This window comes from Homo sapiens, chromosome 14 (genome assembly GCF_000001405.40).
Source record: "Homo sapiens chromosome 14, GRCh38.p14 Primary Assembly".
In the NCBI taxonomy this organism is placed as follows: domain Eukaryota; kingdom Metazoa; phylum Chordata; class Mammalia; order Primates; family Hominidae; genus Homo; species Homo sapiens.
Window position 1 is genome coordinate 60,003,809 of NC_000014.9, and position 16,890 is coordinate 60,020,698.

Genomic DNA, 16,890 nt, shown 5'->3' on the forward strand with positions numbered 1-16,890 from the left:
TAAGAACTTTGAAGTCTCAAAATATGGGATGTCTAAACAACAAAGCAAAAAATAACCCTGGGAACAGAGTTTCTGAAGAGGAAGATCTCTAGGAAAGTTCCAAGTTTTTGTGGCAGGGTATTCTAAATACCTGTGTGAGGTAATGCAATTATTAGTTAGCTAGATTGGACCATTCTACAATGTATATATATACTTCAAAACATCATGTTGTACAAGATAAATGGATACAATATTATCTGTCAAATTAAAAAATAAAAGATAAATAAAAAATTAAAACGAGTTCATACCTATTAGTGGAATTCGTGACTATTTTACTTTATATAATGAGCCCGAGCAAGCTTTCACCTCCTGTGCCTTCTCTCCCCTCTCCTCTGTGCTAGTTTATAATCTGTTACCAAACATTAGCACATACCAACTAGTTAGTCATTAATGTCTGTAAAGTTGAGTAAACAAATGAATGAGGTATGCTTTTGAAAAAGATAAAGCAGACTAGTTCTGTTTTGAAAATATAAAATTGAGGTTATATTTGGAAATTTGAATACTTTAACAAGAAATGAAAATTATACTCACTAGAGGTTGAAAATAAAATATACTATATGTAACATTTTCCATGGATCCACATACAAGTCCAATTAAGCAGCTTTAGTAATATCTTAATAATAATGATACCAATATAATATATTTTATTTGACTGTTTAAAGTTCAGTATTAAAACATATTTTTCTGAACCAGAGAGAATAAAAAAGACTTTTCCTCCCTTTCCCCTTCCAAGCTTCTTAGATTCTTCACTTCATTTGGATTTATGCTTATCTACAGCTAAAAATCATGAGTTTAGAGAACATGTCCTAGAATATATACTACTAAGTCAAGTATTTTCTGACTCCTCCCCAGCTTTATTTTATTCTTACCTTCATTAGAAAGAAATTGAAAGAAGCTTTCCATGACTTGCTACCAACTTTCTCTTATTCTCCCTCTCCATCTACTCAAAAGAGTAACTAACTCCTAGAAATTAAAAAATATGTCCACAAGTGTGCACTATTTGATTGAAAAGAGAAATATGTATATGTGTGTATACACACACACACACACACACACACTTATCTGAATAAAGAATATTTCTGTATGTGCATTTTGGTAACATGGTTGTGTTTGTCAAGGAGGGAAGGTAAGAATTAGAAATCACGGCTGGGAAACAGAATTTACATTTTATTCATTTTTGAATTGGATTATTTTTATCATGTGTATATACTGCATTTTTCATAAAATAGAAGATTTGATTTCACAAAATTATATATATAAAAGCAAGTATTAAATATATTTAAGAAAGCATACATAACATTTGTGACATATTTCATTTTAATGGCTGTTAACAATATGTTTCTAAAACTTTCTTGATCATGAGAATCACTTAGGACACTTATTGAAGATACAGATTCACAGGCCTCTCTTCTGTAGATTTCAGTAGAGTAAACCTAGGGGTAGCTCAGGCACCTGTGTCTTGACCTATCACTAGTCTCCCATTCCCATACAACTGGATATTAGTTTTGCTTTGTACATACAATTAAAAACCCTATTTCCTTTTCATTTCCTTCCATAAACCTATTAAACAGAAGAATCTTCCAATCTATATTTTTCTTACACCTATATTTTGGAGAAGATAGCTACCCCTCTAAACTTTAACAGGAATTTCTCCTTTTTCTTCAGACATGGGTAGGTTCCATATCCATTTAATGATTTTTGCTTTGATGGCTTTGATCCTATCTTGCCCTGGATTGATTCACCTTCAACATTGTACAGTCCCACAATAGGAACTGATGTGAAAGGGGAGCACAGATAATTATTTGATACTTTCCAAACATTATTCCATTTAATTTCATAACTCCTTGGAAGTAAATTTTAGTATGCCCGTTTTATGGATGAGGAAATTAAGGCTCAGAGGTTACACAATTTATGTATCGCCACAAACCTAGTAGTGATATATTTGAAGCCAACTAGGATTCCGAAGTTCTTGTCTTTCAACTGCACTGTCCTGGCTATACTTATAAAGTGCTTGCAGTACATAATGTATGCAGGAGTTAGACTGGTTCCATTTTCCAAACTTCCATCTTAGAGTACTTTTAGGCATAAGCAAGTAAAAGTAGGCTAGATTGTTCATTTTAATACAAACGATGCACTTTCCAGAATGTGGTTCCTTACCCTTAATATTTAAAAATGAGGGCTGGTGATTATTTTGAGCTTTGTGTAGAGCTTTTTGTTTTCAAAATGATGAAAATCTTAATTAATTACATCATTTTAAGGTTATTTGAAAGAGAAATTCAATATTTTCATGTAATGCCTTTCCTTAACTCCTAAGAAGAAGGAATCTACTTAGAAATCCAAAATTTGAATTTAATGTTTGAGATGGGGCTTATACACAAGATTATATTCTTCCAAAACAAAGGCTTAAAGCAATGATGGTTAGTATTACAGAATCTTTAAAGCCATTTGAACCTAGCTATCTAATTACAATAAAATGACCAGCCACTTATTTTTTAAATTAAACCTTTAGTGTTATCTGAATCTTTTCTTGAATTTGCTTATTTTTCTAGGTATTTCCAAGATGACTAAATTAACTCGCCTCAGCATAAATAATAATCTTCTCACTGGTTGGGAAGAGCATACCTTTGATAACATGCTTCATCTTCACTCGCTTTCTCTTGAGAACAACAGAATCACTTCATTGAGTGGTTTACAAAAATCTTTTACTCTTGTTGAGTTATACATAAGCAATAACTATATTGCTGTCAATCAGGAGATGCACAATTTAAAGGTAATCATCTGGGTAGTAATTTTTTTGTTTTTTAACATGTATTGTTTCTTTATATTATGAAAGTAATGCATGTTTATTGCACAGAATTTGGAAAATATAAAGAAAATAAAAATAAGAATAACAAGTTTATTAAAATGTATTTGCATTCAATGTTGTATACATACAAAAATATATCTGTGTATACATAATGTCCCCATTTGCTATCCTTCTGGGGTAACTTTTTTTAAATACTCAAGTATGATAAACCAAACCTATTCCTTAGCATTCTCCTGTTCTCAGTACAATTCGTGATGATCTTTCACTGTTCTCTTACCAGTGGCTCAAACTTGGTCGCCTTTGCTCAGATTTGCTTTTGTTAATTCCCCCAAAAAACCACTAATTTAAGGCTGTTGTGTAATAGGATTTACTAAAGGTTTGAACAAAACAGAGGGTTTCTATAGCACAGAACAGGAATTTACTTCAAATGTCATGTGTGACTTCATTGTTTCTAAAGCTCAGTGGCCATTTTCTAACACTATGGGTCTTACACTGGCCTGTCCTTTTGCTGATACAATATTACTAGGACTTTATCTCCTACCAAAAACTTGTGTCCATTTCCTGTCTTTTCTTAGTTCAGACTTCTCCCCATTCCGTTCCCCCAGTATAATTACTACTTCTAGAGCTAGGGAGGCAACCTAATCAACAACACCAGCAACACAATAAGCCATTTCACATTATGATGCACAGTAGTTTTACTCCCTCTTGTTTTCAGTAGTTTTACTCCCTCTTGTTTTCACCTCTCCCCTCCATACCTGCCAAGACCCTTCCTTCACAACAAAGGCATATCAAAGTGTCTTGTCTAATAAAACAGCACATTTCCCTTAGGATGAATTCCACTACCCTCTCAGAAAGTAGAAGCACTTCAGTTTCATCACTTTTCAAATAGCAGTGTCTTTTATTCCTGTTATATCTATATAGACACATACATCCATTTATTAAGCCATTATTCCATAAACAAAGTATATTTGTCTTAAACATAGTGAAGTTCCCTCTAAGCCCTTACCATTAATAGATAATACATTTGGCACTAGTATCCTAAAAGGGATTCTGATTATATAACATAGACCATTGAAATACTGCACAAAATATACCTAAGTGGTCTGAAAGGGTAACCCTTGCACTTAAAAGTGCACTGAGGCTGGGCGTGGTGGCTTATGTCTATAATTTCAGCACTTTGGGAGGCCATGGTGGGAGAATCACTTGAGCCTAGGAGTTTGAGGCTGCAATGAGCTATGATCAGACCACTGCACTCCAGCCTGAGCAACAGCACGAGACCATGTCTTTAAAAAAAAAAAAAAAAAAAAAAGTATACTTAAAGGCACTGAAATCCCATGGAATGATAGATAATTCCAATATTAAAATTTGAGGATGGCTAACCTCTTACTAGAGTGCTTTAAATATACATATAGATGAATATATGTATTTTATTACCTAGGGTTTATGCAACTTGGTCATTCTAGACATGTGTGGGAACATCATTATATGGAATCAAGAAAACTACCGGTTGTTTGTAATATTTCATCTTCCAGAACTGAAAGCTTTGGATGGGATACCAATTGTAAGTTGATTTATGACTCACAACATTTGGTCTAAGCTGCATAGTCACATATTTATAGGACATAGTCATTTTGAACATTGCTTTATCACTAGCATTATAGCCAAATTTACTATACTTATTAAATCTAGGTCTCCAAAGCTTATTTTAGATCTGGGTTTTTTAATTTTGTCATCTGGTCAATTCTTAATTGTCTGAATTGTGGTGGAAAGGGAGGGCTGTGCTGCTTACAATAGAACCCACAGAATTCAGTGCCTAAAAGGTAAAGAACACAATTTTATGGGACAGGATAGAAAATTATGCACTGGGGATTTAGCATCCTCCTAAGCCTAAAAGCAGCTTTCTATTTTCAGTGCAAATATAGTTGCTAATATTAATAATTAAGAAAAATATATTTGAACCAACATGTGGTATGTCAACATTACTAAGTAAGCTGTAAAGAAAAATAGACACAGACCCTAGGACTGAATGTGAAAGCAACATTTGGATACTGGATTCTATAACAAGCAAATTCATAGGGCTCCTGTTTTCCACATAGCAGGGTAAATGCATGACAAATGTGTAAAGAGTAAAAGGTTTATGGTGTAATGTTGCCTAGCTCCTGTCAGAAAAGAAAACACATCAAATTTTCTAGAAAATTGAAAGATAGTTCATGATCATTTAGTATTCTGAGGTACTCCAAGAAGATTACTAATCCTAGCCCTTCTGTTTTCTGGCCCATCCTCAGAATGGGTCACTAAAACTTTCTCACTCCAACACATACAAATTCTCTAGAACCTTGTATACTGTGACTTATTTATTTGTTAGCTTTCACTGAAAAATGTTTTTTAAAATAGTCCTATGAGACCAGTACTGCATTTACTCTAAAGATGTTGTTGAGGATCTTATCTGTCCTATCTCTCTGTGCCTTCATTTGAAGGGCCACATGAAAAAGCACTTATAGAAATAAATGTAGAAAAAACATTTACCGCTAAGGAAAAGTTATGTTCTGCTCACTGACAATGAGTGTATTAGTCTGAACTCTGCTACTAATAAAGACATACCCAAGACTGGGCAATTTATAAAGGAAAGAGGTTTAATGGACTCACAGTTCCACATGGCTGGGGAGGCCTCACAATCATAGTGGAAGACAAAGGAAGCGTAAAGTCATGTCTTACATGGCAGCAGGCAAGAGAGCATGTGCAAAGGAACTCCCCTTTATAAAACCATCAGATCTCATGAGACTTATTCACTATCGCGAGAACAGCGTAAGAAAAACCCATCCCCATGATTCAATTACCTGCCACTGGGTCCCTCCCATGACGTGGGGATTATTACAATTCAAGGTGAGATTTGGGTGTGGACACAGAGCCAAACCATATCATTCCAACCCTGGCCCTTCCCAAATCTCATGTCCTCACATTTCAAAACCAATCATGCCTTCCCAATGGTCCCCCAACTCAGTTCAGCATTAGTTCAAAATTCCACAGTCCAAAGTGTGAGCTGAGACAAGTCAAGTCCCTTCTGCCTATGAGCCTGTAAAATCAAAAGCAAGTTAGTTACTTCCTAGAGACAATGGGGGTACAGGCATTGGGTAAATACACCCATTCCAAATGGGAGAAATGGGCCAAAACAAAGGGGCTACAGGCCGCATGCAAGCCCAAAATCCAGTGAGGCAGCAAAATCTTAAAGCTCTGAAATGATCTCCTTTGACTCCATGTCTCACATCCAGGTCATGCTAATGCAAGAGGCGGGCTCCCACAGCCTTAGGCAGCTCCACTCCTGTGGCTTTGCTGGATACAGCCTCCCTCCTGGCTGCTTTCACAGGCTGGCATTGAGTGTCTGTGGCTTTTCCAGGTGCACGGTGCAAGCTGTGGGTGGATCTACCATTCTGGGGTCTGAAAGACAGTGGTCCCCCCCTCACAGCTCCAATAGGCAGTGCCCCAGTGGGGACTCTGTGTGGGGGCTCCAACCCCACATTTCTTTTTGGCACTGCCCTAGCAGAGGGCAGCAGGCTTCTGCCTGGACATCTAGGCGTTTCCATACACCCACTGAAATCTAGGTGGAGGTTCCCAAACCTCAATTCTTGACTTCTGTGTACCCACAGGACCAACACCATGTCAAAGCTGCCAAGTCTTGGGGCTTGCACCCTCTGAAGCCACAGCTTGAGCTATACATTGGCCCCTTTTAGCCATGACTGGAGTGACTGGGACACAGGGTACCAAGTCCCTAGGCTGCATAAAGTATGGGGGCCCTGGACCACTCCAGGAAACCGTTTTTCCCTCCTAGGCCTCCAGGCCTGTGATGGGAGTGGCTGCTGTGAAGGTCTCTGACATGCCCTGGAGACGTTTTCCCCATTCTCTTGGCGATTTGCATTTGGCACCTCGTTACTTATGCAAATTTCTGCAGCCAGCTTGAATTTCTTCCCAGAAAATGGGTTTTTCTTTTCTACTGCATCATCAGGCTGCAAATTTTTCAGACTTTTTTGCTTTGCTTCCTCTTGAACACTTTGCCACTTACAAATTTTTCACCAGATACCCTAAATCATCTCTCTCAAGTTCAAAGTTTCATAGATCTCTAGGGCAGGGGAAAATGCCACCAATCTCTTTGCATAGCAAGAGTGATCTTTACTCCAGTTCCCAACAAGTTCCTTGTCTCCATCTGAGACCACCTCAGCCTGGACCTTATTGTCTATATCACTATCAGCATTTTGGTCAAAGCCATTCAACAAGTCTCTAGGAAGTTACAAACTTTCCCATTTTTCCTATTTTCTTCTAAGCCCTCCAAACTGTTCCAACCTCTGCCTGTTACCCAGTTCCAAAGTCACTTCCACATTTTTGGGTATCTTTACAGCAGCACATTACTCTACCAATACCAATTTACTGCATTAGTCTGTTCTCATGCTGCCAATAAAGACATACATGAGACTGTGTAATTTATAAAGGAAAGAAGTTTAATGGACTCACAGTTCCACATGGCTGGGGAGGCCTCACAATCATGGCAGATGAAGGAAGAGCAAAAGCAGGTCTTACATGGTGGCAGGCAAGACAGCATGTGCACGGGAACTCCCCTTTATAAAACCATCAGATCTCATGAGACTTATTCACTATCACAAGAACAGCACAGGAAAAACCCACCCCCATGATTCACTTACCTCCCACTGGGTCCCTCCCACAACACAAGTGGATTATTACAATTCAAGATGAGACTTTGGTGGGGACACAGAGCCAATCCATATCAATGAGTATTATTTAATTATATTCCTTTTCACTTTGCCTAAAAGCTCAGGACCAAATTTATGATTCAATAATATAAACCCTATAGGATCTTACAGTCTTTTTGTCACTAATCCTAGTGAGCGTGATTTTCACTATGTATGGTTTGCATTTTACTATTTGATTATATGTGTTTCCTGTAAGCTGCCACAAATTATTTGTGGAATAAGGCAGAATATAAATGTATGAATTAATAATTGGACATGAAGACTAGACTGAAGAATTTAGATTTTAAATGCAAGGTAATGGGAATGCATTGGATTTGAAGGGCAAAGGAAAGGAAGAATAAAGGATTTCTACAAGGCTTGAGTCTATGCCAATAAAAGACACCATAACAGAATATGAATATAGGAAGAAAAGCAATTTGGGGGTGTAAGATGATTAGTATTAGACATTAGTTTTATATGACAGAAGATCATCTGACTGGAGATGTCAAGCAGGCAGCTGAAATCACAGGATTAAATATGCATATGAAAATTTACTTTACATATGTTTGGACTTGGAAGTAATTTGAAGAGAGTTAACAGTTAAGACCAAAAGCATATGCAATATTGTCTAAGGAAAGAGAGTAGAGAAAGTAAAGAAATCAAAGTGAGGCTCTAATACTTTCATTTATTAAACATATGTAGAAAAAGAAGTCATGAAAAGTGGGTGCAGAGGTAGGTAGTACAGTAATATATAATGCTAGAGTGTCTGAGATATAAATAAACTTTGGAAATGGCATAGTTCAAATCCTTTATTTTATGTATGAACACAAGGAACTCTAGAGAAGTTACATGACTTCTTTCAAGTTATGTGACTCTTTAATGGTAAATCATGGGCACCTGAGCCTCATTCTCTGTCCAACACTCTCTAGACATATAATTACATTGTCTTCTTTGGAGTGGGAGTAGAAACCAAGGGAGGGCATAGACTAGGAAGACCCAAAGAACAATTTGGGTAGTTGTGTTTTCATTTTATCTTTTGTTCCTATGTACTTTTATTTGTAAAAGATTATTTTTTGCATTAAGGATACATATTCTCAATTTAGATATGAAGTTTTAACAGATTAGAAAAAAAGAAGGGAGTTTGAGTAAAAGTAGATCAAATGACTTACCAGTTTAATTTAGATCAAGTTCAAACCATTTGTCTGAAATAGATTGTCAAACAATAGCCATTGGGCCAAATGTGACCTGCCACCTATTTTAGTAAATAAAACTTTATTGGAACACATCCATGCCTGTTTGTTTATATATAATCTGTGACTGCTTTCACACTGCAGTGGCAAAATTAAATAGCAACAGAGAAGCTATTGTTCCCAAAGGCTAAAATACTGACTGACTCTTTACAGGAAAACTGTAGAAAACATTTGTCAGCCCCTGATTTAGGAGGACATTAATCATATGTTGCTTGTATAATTATGAAAAACACAAAAGCAATGGTATTTCTAAGGCTTAATATGTTTTTATTTTTTATTTATTTTTTGTACAATTTTATTTATTTATTTATTTTTTTAATTTTATTATTATTATACTTTAAGTTTTAGGGTACATGTGCACAATGTGCAGGTTCGTTACATATGTATACATGTGCCATGTTGGTATGCTGCACCCATTAACTCGTCATTTAGCATTAGGTATATCTCCTAATGCTATCCCTCCCCCCTCCCCCAAGGCTTAATATGTTTTTAAAACTTATTTTGAGATTTTATTATTGAGGATTCAACAAGAGAAGCAGAACTAGTAAGATAGATATACATATAGAGATATCTATGTCTATATATAGAAATATAGATATCAAGGAATATTTAATAATTGAGGGGACTGCCTAAACAAGTCTGACATCCATAGGACAGGCCATCAGGAAGGGAAGATTATGGACAGGCTGGGACTCACAGGGATAGATGAAAGCTGCTGTCCATGAGTAGATTTTCTTCAGGAAAATTCTTTATTTCAGGAAACTTACCTCTGCTTTTAAAGCCTTGCAATTGTTTGAATCAGGCCCATCCAGATTATTCAAGATTATCTCCTTATTGCAAGTCAACTTGCTAGGAGCTTTAATTATGTCTACAAAATTCTTTCACAGCAATACCTACATCATTGGCTAAAATAACTGGGGACTCTAGCTTCAAATATTTTGCAGCTCTGTTGTTGGTGCATACACGTTTAGGACTGTTATGTCTTCTTGGTGGACTGACCGTTTTATCAGTAGGTAATGTTCTGTCTGACTCTGGTAATTTCCTTTGCTTCAAAGTTTACTTTATCTGAGATTAATGAAGCCACTCCTGCTTTCTCTTGATTAATGTTTAGGATATCTTTTTCCATTCTTTTACTTTCAACCTGCATATATTATTATATTCGAAGTGAGTTTCTTGTTGACAACATACAGTTGGATCATGTTCTTTTACCTTTTAGCTAATTTTTATCTTTTAATTGATGAACGAAGACCATTTATATTTACTATAGCCAACTGACCTGTTAGGGCTTATGTCTGCCATTTTGTTTTCTTGTTTTATATTTGTTTCCTTTGTTTATCTTTCTTCTGTTTTCTTTTTTGTGCCTTCCTGTGAGCTTCCTGAACACATTTTGAAATTCTATTTTTATTTATCCATAGTGTTTTTTAGTGTATCTCTTCATATAGTTTTTTTTAGTGGTTGTTCTATTACAATGCATATACATAACTTACTATAGTCTGTTAGTGTTGACATTTTACCAGTTTGAGTAAAGTGTAGAAATGTTACTTTCCTTCCAGTCTATTTCTTCTCTCCTGTTAATATTTGACTTAAATATTTTCACCATATACATTGAGAACCAATGAGACAATATTATAGTTTTTTCACATCAACTAATCAAAGATAATTTAGAAAAATCAAGAAAAGAAGGGAAGTTTATTAATACTCTTTCCATTGTGCTTTCCTCTTTCCTGGCATTCCAAGATTCCTTTTTTTTTTCTTTCCATTTCAAAAACTTTCTTTAGTCATTTCTTAGGGTAGTTCTGCTGGTAACAGTTTGCTTAGTTTTCCTTCCTATGAGAATGTCTTGCTTTCTCTTTTTATTTCTGAATGATATTTTCTCTGGATATAGAATTCTGGGTTGATGTTTCTCTTTCACCACTTGAAAATGTCGTGCCACATTCCCTGGTTTCCATAGTTTCTGATTAGAAATCTGCTGTCACTTACATTGTTTTTCCTTTATAGGTAAGATTTAATTCCTCTGTCACTGTTTTCATGCCTTTTTTCTCTGTCATTAGTTTTTAGAAATTTGATTCTGATTATTATTATGTGTCCTTGCATGGATTTGGGTTTTTTTTCCTGTCTGAGGTTTGCTTAGCTTCTTACTTAGTTTCTTAGTTTATGTCTTTTGCCAGATTTGGAAGATTTTTGGTTATAACTTCTTCAAATACTTTTTCAGCCCCACATTATTTCTCTTCTTTTTCTATGAATCCAGTGATACTAATATTAAATCTTTTTTATGGTTCCACAAATACAGGATATGCCCATCTTGGTAAAGTGAGGCTCATTTATTTATGGGTCTATTTTCTCTCTTTTGTTCATACTGGGTAATGTCTATTGTTCTGTCTTCAAGTTCAGTTATTCTTTTCTCTTTTCTTTCCACTCTGCTATTGAGTCCCTATCCATTGCATTTATTTGTTTACAGTATTTTTCAATTCTAAAATTTTCATTTCATTCTTCATATCTTCTATTGCTTTGCTATCACTTATTTCTTTGCTAAGGGTTTCTGTTTTTTTCATTTGTTTCAAGTATGTCCATAATTGCTTGTTGAGCATTTTTCCTTTGACTGCTTTGAAATGCAATTAAAAAATATTTGTGTCATTTCAAAGTTGGCATCCGTTGATCGTCTTTTCACATTCAAGTTGAGATGTTCTTGGTTCTTGGCATAACATACTTTTTATTTTATTCTGGACATTTGGGGTATTATGTGGGTCTTATTTAAATCTATTTTAGCAAGCCTCCCTTGGCACTATACCAGTGAGAAGACGAGGAACAACTTTGTTGCTGTCAGGTGGGAGATAGAAGTTCAAATTCCTCCATTTGGCTTCTGTTGACAACCTGGAGGTGTGTTCTTCATTAACTGCTAGGCTAGAGTTGGAGTTCATGCTCCCCACCAGGCCTCCATTGATTTACTCTGGCTGGGAAGGAAGGAACTCCTTGTTACTATTACCCAGAACCCTTCACTGATTCATCCTGGCTGGGAGAGACAAGAATACCTAATTGATGCTCCACAGATAACTCATTATTACTGGGTGGAAGTGGGAATCCAAACTCCCCATGTTATCTACAATAACACTTGCATGCAGGGAGTGGGGACATGTGTTACTGCTGAGGAGGGATGAAATACAGGTTCCCACTCAGCAGGTGGATGATGAAGAAGTGCCTTGTTACAGATGAGCACTGGTGAAAGTCTAAGCAGCCCATTCTGCTTTTACTTGTGGGCATGAAGTTGGGGGCCACAGTTTATTCTGTAGGATTTAGCAGGAGTAGGCTTGTTATCGTCTAAAGTTTTCTGCTGTGCTAGGCTTCCCCTTTCCCGATCCTTTGATTAGAGAGAGCAGGCTTTTTGTGGACTTTGTCTTGTTATTTCCTTACTGTCATTTCTGGGTTTCTAGCTTCTCTAACACCCAGTAGAGATTATGAGGCAAAAAGAAAATCCAGGGTGTCATTCCTCAGGTCCTGAGGTACCTACCTGGTCTGCCTTCTTCTCCACATCTTTCAGTATTCTTATGTTTGGTTTTAATTTCTTTAATTAAAAAAAATTTTTAGAGACAGGATCTCACTCTGTCACCCAGACTGGAATCCAGTGGCATGATCATAGCTCACTGCAGCCTCTGAACTGTGCTCAAGACATCCTCTGGCCTCAGCCTCCCACATAGCTACAACTAGAGGCATGTGCCACTGTGCTTGACTAATTCTTTTTTGTTTTTTGTAGAGACAGGGTCTCACTTTGTTGCCCAGCCTCATCTTGAACTCCTGGACTCAAGCAATCCTCCCACCTTGGCCTCCCAGTGTGCTGGGATTATAGGCATTAGCCACCTTGCCCTGCCTATGTTTGTTTCATATATAATGCACAGGATTTAGCTCTACTTAGTAGGAGGAATCTGGAAAAATGAGTCCACTGAATTTTTACCTAAAACCAGAGAACTATGTAATTTAGTCATCTGTAAGACAGGACATCATTTTCTAAATATCTTCATATAGGAACCATCAGAGACTGACAGTGCAAAAGATTTGTTTGGTGGTAGACTTACTTCTGACATGATTGCAGAACGACAAGGACATTCCAACTTCAAACAAATGCAAGAACTAAATTGGACTTCATCATCTATTAGGTACAATCATTTTATTATATGCCTTTTTACATTATAATTACATTATGTAATTATTATCATTTTTCTGAAGCTTACATTTATACAACTTACCTAAATATAATCAATAATTCATAAAATTATCTACTGTACTGAAAAGATTCATGCTAAGTAATGAGCATTTTTTGAGATGGGGTCTCAAAAAATGGCTCACTGCAGCTTCAACCTTGCAGGCTCAATCGATCCTCCGACTATAGGCACGCACCACCAAGCATGGCTAATTTTCTTTGTATTTTTTGTGGAGACAGCATTTATGCCATGTTGCCAGGCTGGTCTCCAATCATGGGCTCAAGTGGTTCACCTGCCTCAGTCTCCCAAAGTGTTGGGATTTCAGGTGTGAGCCACTGTGCCCAGCCTAAAATTAAAAATTCCTTTGTATGGCATAAAAGACTCTTTATTATCTGTCCATTATTATCTCTTGTAGTCCTTTTCTTTACTGCCCATGATACTTCATACTTCAGAAATTCTGAAATATTCTAGTTACTGAATCTCAATCATAAGATGTTCTTTCATATTTGTTTCTCCCTTTGTTTTTCCTGTTGCACTGCCTAGAACTCTTTTCTGCTAATTTGCTCGACAAATACCTATAACTCCTCCAAATATCATCTCAAGATGTTTCTCCTCCATGCTGTCATCCTTGACTTTTTAAAATAGATTTTATTTCCCTGAAATGCCATTACATTGGTATGATAGAGATGCTAACTCTATCACAGCAATTCTCCTCTTTATTTTTATTTTTCTGGCTCCCACTTCTTGGGGGCTGAAACATTTCTTTCATCTTTCTTGTAGCCTTTCCAAACACATCCGCTGCACTTAGGAAATACTAATGGAAATATGTTGACTGAATGAATGACTTATTAGTGGGTAAAAGTATGTCATAATTGTAACTTCAAGTTTAGGATTTATTTAGAGAACTGGTTAGGGAAAGGGATGTAGTTTTATGCTCTTCTCTGTCATGGCTCAAATGAAGATATAGCTATAGACTGGGAATCAAGCATTCTGTTTAATTACCAAAATGTTCACACAGGGTGGAATGCCATAAAAGTTTCCAGAAGATACCACAGAAACTCTATTTTCAAAGACCTTACCTGCTTTTCCTTTCCTTTCCTATCCCTAACCACTTCCTGGTATTTCAGAAATGACCTACTTCAATATATATCATCTGAAGTTTATAACCTGAAAAGCTTATGATTTACAATATCAACTTCACTATGATTTCATAAACATATATGTGAATTTATAAAGAAAGTGGAAATGTCTCTTTTATAAGTTTCTTCTATAATAGTGCTATGTTTATATGGTAATAGATGTGTTTTTTTTGAAAGCAACCAAATTCTATGTCACTTTCTTGCATATGTACCCAACAAAAATGTATATTCAGCCGATCATTTAACCAATTCATTTTACATTAAAGTAATTATTTTTATACTTGTCAGGTGAGACTTTTTAAATGTCTTTGGTGGCTGTATGTGAAGGAACTCACCTTTTCCTATATTTTCCTGTCCTATTAAAATAATAGCTGTATTTACTTTGTCTAAATTCAGAACAGTGGATTTGATTCCAGTCGACCAATTTAGAAATGTGTGTAATGTGAATCTACAGAACAATCATCTTACCTCATTCAGTGGATTAATCTATCTACCTAATGTGAAGGTAAGTCATTCACAAATTTTTCTTTCTTTCAAGGTTTCCAATGCAAATTATTCTTTGCTTTGGATTAAATGGTATTTCCATGTTATTAAAGTAGATAAATTATTCCTAAATTTTCTTTGGGTTTTTTTTTGTTTTTTACTAAGCAAGAAAAAACTATTACCTTCCAAAGTGATTTTGGTTTGACCTCAGTTTTATGTGATTGTCACATATTTAGTAAATTTTCCTCTGTAGTCAGAGATGGGATTGAAGGCAGATATGGAAAGAAGCTTCAAGGTTCTTTAAACGGCCTTATTGCCTCCGTTATTATTTACTTGACTCAGGCATCTACTAAGGCCTTTTAAACATAGGTAAATAGCTGTCTTTTCGACTAAAAATTATTTCATCCTTGTCAGGTTTGGAGAAATCAGGAGAACAGATTGAGAAAGTTGAGGAGTTTTCTAGGGTCTCCATGTGAAGTACTGTAATTTCCCAGAATGTCAGATTAAAAACACATTGAAAACTAAATCTAGATTATTTAGGATATAAACATTTGTTGTTTTAGCACTAATATATTATTAAATTATGTGGTATATTCCAAGTTTTATCCATACAATTTTTAATAATTTCTAGGATTTCTGATTAATAAGATATTCTTTCTGTAGGTCTTATGCCTTAACTATAATCATATTGAATCAATCATGCCCAGACTAAAGCCTCAGACTCACTTAACCAGTAGACAACTACTGTACCAGAAAGTGCCTTCAAGTGGCTATGGACAGCAAGGAATTTCAAAAACAAACAGGTAGTATTCTTTATTTTTATGATTATAACTAATTTTGGCTGGGAATTTTAAAAGCAGTTAATCACATTAATGATAGCAGTAACACATTCCAGTACATAAAATTTAGCTTATTGTAATACCTATTTTATTTAATAGCTACATGCCAAAAATAAACTTCATAATAAAAAGGTACTCAAAATATTTCTCTCATTGTTTATTCTCTGCCTTCTCCATTTCAAACCTATATTGTGAATAAAGGGAAAAAACCAAAAAACAAACAAACAAAAGGCCTTGTACTGCATGTTTAATGACCTTGGGTTTCTTTTTTAAAAATTGAGGTACAATTCACATACCATAAAACTCACCCTGTATGTACAATTTAGCAATTTTTAGTTTCTTCATCATAAACATTTTTATCAACTCACAAAGGAACCCTATACACAGTAGCATGGACGTGGGCTTTTTTTTCAGCATTTGTTTTGCTTTTATTTCTAAATTATTTATCTGGTCACTTAATGACTCAGCACCAATGGAATAGATACTTTATGCAAAAAATGACAACAAACCTTCTACCTCCTTACACATTTTTGACAGAACATATATATACATCATATATAATACATATCATATATATGATATATATATTTTATAACGTGTATCTCCAAATCAGAATGCTTTCATTCCAGTTTTCCCAATAAAGAACATTCCTTGTGCTTTTTATTACCTCTATCGAAGTATAATTTCCTTGCAACAAAATTCACCAATGTAAGTGTAAAGTTTAATGAATTTTGACAAATGTATTCAATCATAAAACCTCTACCACAATCAAAATACAAAGTATTCCCATTCCAGAAACTTCCTTTGTAATCTCTCCCCCGACACCCTGGCACCTGGCAACAACCACTGATCTGCTCTCTCGCTATAATTTTGCCTTTTTCCAGAATTTCATATAATTGGAATTATGTAGTAAGTAGTTTTTGTGCCTGGCTCCTTTTACTTAGCATAATGCTTTTGAGAGTCATTCATTTTGTTCCAAGTGTCAGTAATTTATTTCATTTTATTGCCGAATAGTATTCTATTATATGTATTATATGACAAGTTATTTATGCATTTATCATTGATGAACATTTTGGTTGTTCCTAATTTTAGGCTATTACGATTAAAGCTACTATGAACATTTCATTTATATACATACTTTTTTGGATCCTATTCATATTTGATTTTTCTAATAGTTTTATTGAAGTGGCAGTTAATGTATCATGTTTACTTATATTAAGTGTATAATTCAATAATTTTACTAAATTTATAGAGTTGTATAATCATGACTGCAATACAATTTTATAACATTTTCCATCTCACCAAAAAGATCCTTCATGTCCATTTACAGTCAACTTCCTTTCCCACCTCTAGTCCCAAACAACCTCTAATCTGTTTTCTAGAATTGTATTTTCTAGACATT

General features: G+C 35.3%; 1 protein-coding gene and 1 long non-coding RNA gene across 18 annotated transcripts in view; one reads left to right on the forward strand and one right to left on the reverse strand.

Moving 5' to 3' along the window:
• LRRC9 (leucine rich repeat containing 9) overlaps window positions 1–16,890 on the forward strand; it is a 147,105-nt gene that overhangs the window by 84,096 nt on the left and 46,119 nt on the right. For 13 of the 14 annotated variants that reach the window (XR_002957549.2, XR_002957550.2, NM_001355272.3 and 10 more), the window contains 5 exons: window positions 2,589–2,809; window positions 4,284–4,406; window positions 12,852–12,982; window positions 14,563–14,671; window positions 15,313–15,452. Coding sequence is in view for 11 of the 14 variants with exons in the window: in NM_001355272.3 (NP_001342201.1) it covers window positions 2,589–2,809; window positions 4,284–4,406; window positions 12,852–12,982; window positions 14,563–14,671; window positions 15,313–15,452 (724 nt within the window). In the remaining 3 variants the exon portion in view is untranslated. Of the gene's footprint in view, window positions 1–2,588; window positions 2,810–4,283; window positions 4,407–12,851; window positions 12,983–14,537; window positions 14,672–15,312; window positions 15,453–16,890 lie in introns of all 14 variants that reach the window. The other variant, NR_075071.3, reaches the window with a different exon arrangement.
• Window positions 1–16,890, reverse strand: part of PCNX4-DT (PCNX4 divergent transcript) — a 122,654-nt gene that overhangs the window by 34,716 nt on the left and 71,048 nt on the right. Inside the window, exon 3 of one of the 4 annotated variants that reach the window (XR_007064198.1) lies at window positions 3,720–7,452. The exons of 1 other annotated variant lie outside the window; for it this stretch is intronic. This is a non-coding gene — a long non-coding RNA (PCNX4 divergent transcript). Of the gene's footprint in view, window positions 1–3,719; window positions 7,453–16,890 lie in introns of those variants that run through there. 2 more of the 4 variants (XR_007064199.1, XR_007064197.1) reach the window with 2 other exon arrangements.